The sequence below is a fragment of the Homo sapiens genome, chromosome 3, assembly GCF_000001405.40.
Source record: "Homo sapiens chromosome 3, GRCh38.p14 Primary Assembly".
In the NCBI taxonomy this organism is placed as follows: Eukaryota; Metazoa; Chordata; class Mammalia; order Primates; family Hominidae; genus Homo; species Homo sapiens.
In genome coordinates this window covers 96,619,209-96,621,953 of record NC_000003.12, presented here as the reverse complement: position 1 = coordinate 96,621,953, position 2,745 = coordinate 96,619,209, and the positions used below count along the sequence as shown (strand labels likewise).

The following is a 2,745-nucleotide window of genomic DNA, read 5'->3' as shown; positions in this document are numbered from 1 at the left end:
ATATATAAGTATATATATAAGTATATATAAGTATATATATAAGTATATATATAAGTATATATTTTATATACACGTGTATATAATATATAAGTATATATTATATACACGTGTATATAATATATAAGTATATATTTTATATACACGATATTATATACACGTGTATATAAAATATATATAAGTATGTTTTATATACACGTGTATATAAAATATATATAAGTATGTTTTATATACACGTGTATATAAAATATATATTAGTATGTTTTATATACACGTGTATATAAAATATATATAAGTATGTCTTATATACATGTGTATATAAAATATATATAAGTATATGTTTTAATATACACGTGTATATAAAATATATAAGTATATGTTTTATATATACGTGTATATAAAATATATATGTTTCAAATATGTGTATATAATTTATATATAAGTATGTTTTATATATACATATTTTATATATAATTATTATATATAATATATAAAAGATATATATTATATATAAATATATAAATATAAATATATATATAAATTTATAAATATATAAAATATATAAATATATAAAAATATATATTTATATATTTATATAATATATTTATATATAAATATATATCTTTATACATATCTAATATATATCTTTTATATATATTAGATATGTATTTATATATCTAATATGTATAAATATATAATTATATATTATATATTTATATATCTAATATTTATATAATATAATATATACATCTTTCATATATTTTATATAAAATATAAATTATATATTATAATATATTTTATATAAAATATATATTATATATAATTTATATTTTATATAAAATATATTTAATATGTAACATATTTTATAAATTTCATAAAACATTTATATATTAGAAAACATATATTATATATTATATATAAAACATAATATATAAAATATATATTCTATATAATATATAATATATAAAATATATTATATATTCTATATAATATATAATATATAATATATATTATATATTATATATAATATATATTGTATATTATATATAAAATATATTGTATATTATATATATAAAATATATTATATATTATATATATAAAATATATTATATATTATATATATAAAATATATTATATATTATATATATAAAATATATTATATATTATATATATAAAATATATTATATATTATATATATAAAATATATTATATATTATATATAAAATATATTATATATTATATATAAAATATATTATATATTATATATATAAAATATATTATATATTATATATATAAAATATATTATATATTATATATATAAAATATATTATATATTATATATATAAAATATATTATATATTATATATATAATATATTATATATTATATATATAAAATATATTATATATTATATATATAAAATATATTATATATTATATATATAAAATATATTATATATTATATATAAATTAATTAATATATTAATTAATTATTTAATATATATTATATATTATATAATTTATATAATTATATATTATACATATTATATTATATTTATAATTATATAATATATATTATATATAAAATATATAAAATATCATATAAAATATATATTATATAAAATATATAATATATAATATAAAATATATATTATATATTATTTATAATATGTATTACACATTATATATAAAATATATATTTTATGTATCTAAAATTTATATGTAATATATAAAAAAATTTATTTATATCTATAATTTATATATAAAATATAAAAAATATGTATTTTATTTATATGGAAAAATATATATTTATGTATATTATACATTATTTATATAAAAGATATGTATTTCATTTATATATTATATATTATTAATATATTATATATTATTTATGTATAAATTATATATTTAATTTATATATTAGGAATATATATTTTATTTATAAAATATATTTTTAATTTATATACAAAAAGTGTATATTTTATTTATATGTAGAAATATATATATTATATATATTTATTTATATATTTTATTTATATATATTAAATATGTTTTGTTTATGTATAAATATATATACATACATTTTCCTGATTTTATTTGGGGCACACCCGGGCGAGAGCTCTGCCTCTAGAAGAAGGTGTTGGATCTCTTGGTGGTGAAGTGTGGCTTGTGCTGATGGCGCAGGACCCAGTGGGGCAGTGGGAACTGGATCTTGGAGTCCTGGAACCGCTTGACGGCAGGCCGGCGGGCACCTGCTGGCTGCGATCTCCTCCACCTTCATGATCTGGATGGATTGGGCCAGGGCACGGTGCTGGGCGCCCGTGTTTCGGTAGCACTGGGTGACAGCGCCCACGGGGGTCAGGTCCCGGTATTCCCGGTACAGGTTGTGGGTGCCGCTCTGGGAGTCATAGCCCAGCCAGATGCCGAAGTTCTTCACCCGCAGGAAGGACGTCTCAAAACCTGCCAACAGTAGACAATCTCCCCTAAAGACTTCATCTTCTTTAACTGATATGCAAAGTACCGGAAGGGAGACTTGGCAACGACATGATTAGGCGCAAAGATTCGCATGCGGTAGATGGGTGGTCTGTGGCATTTGGGGGCAGACAGACAGTGACCCACCACCTTGTACTCTCCTAGTGTGCCCAAGGCCTTTGTGGTGTCCCGTCTGTGCTCGCTGCCACTCGCAAAAGTGAAAAATATATTTTTATATAGATGTTAAATCTAGTCTGTTAAATGTCAAAAGAGACTTC

The 2,745-nt window shown here is 17.5% G+C and overlaps 1 pseudogene; it reads right to left on the bottom strand.

Annotated features, from left to right (window-relative positions):
• RPL18AP8 (ribosomal protein L18a pseudogene 8) lies at window positions 2,080-2,685 on the bottom strand (annotated as a pseudogene).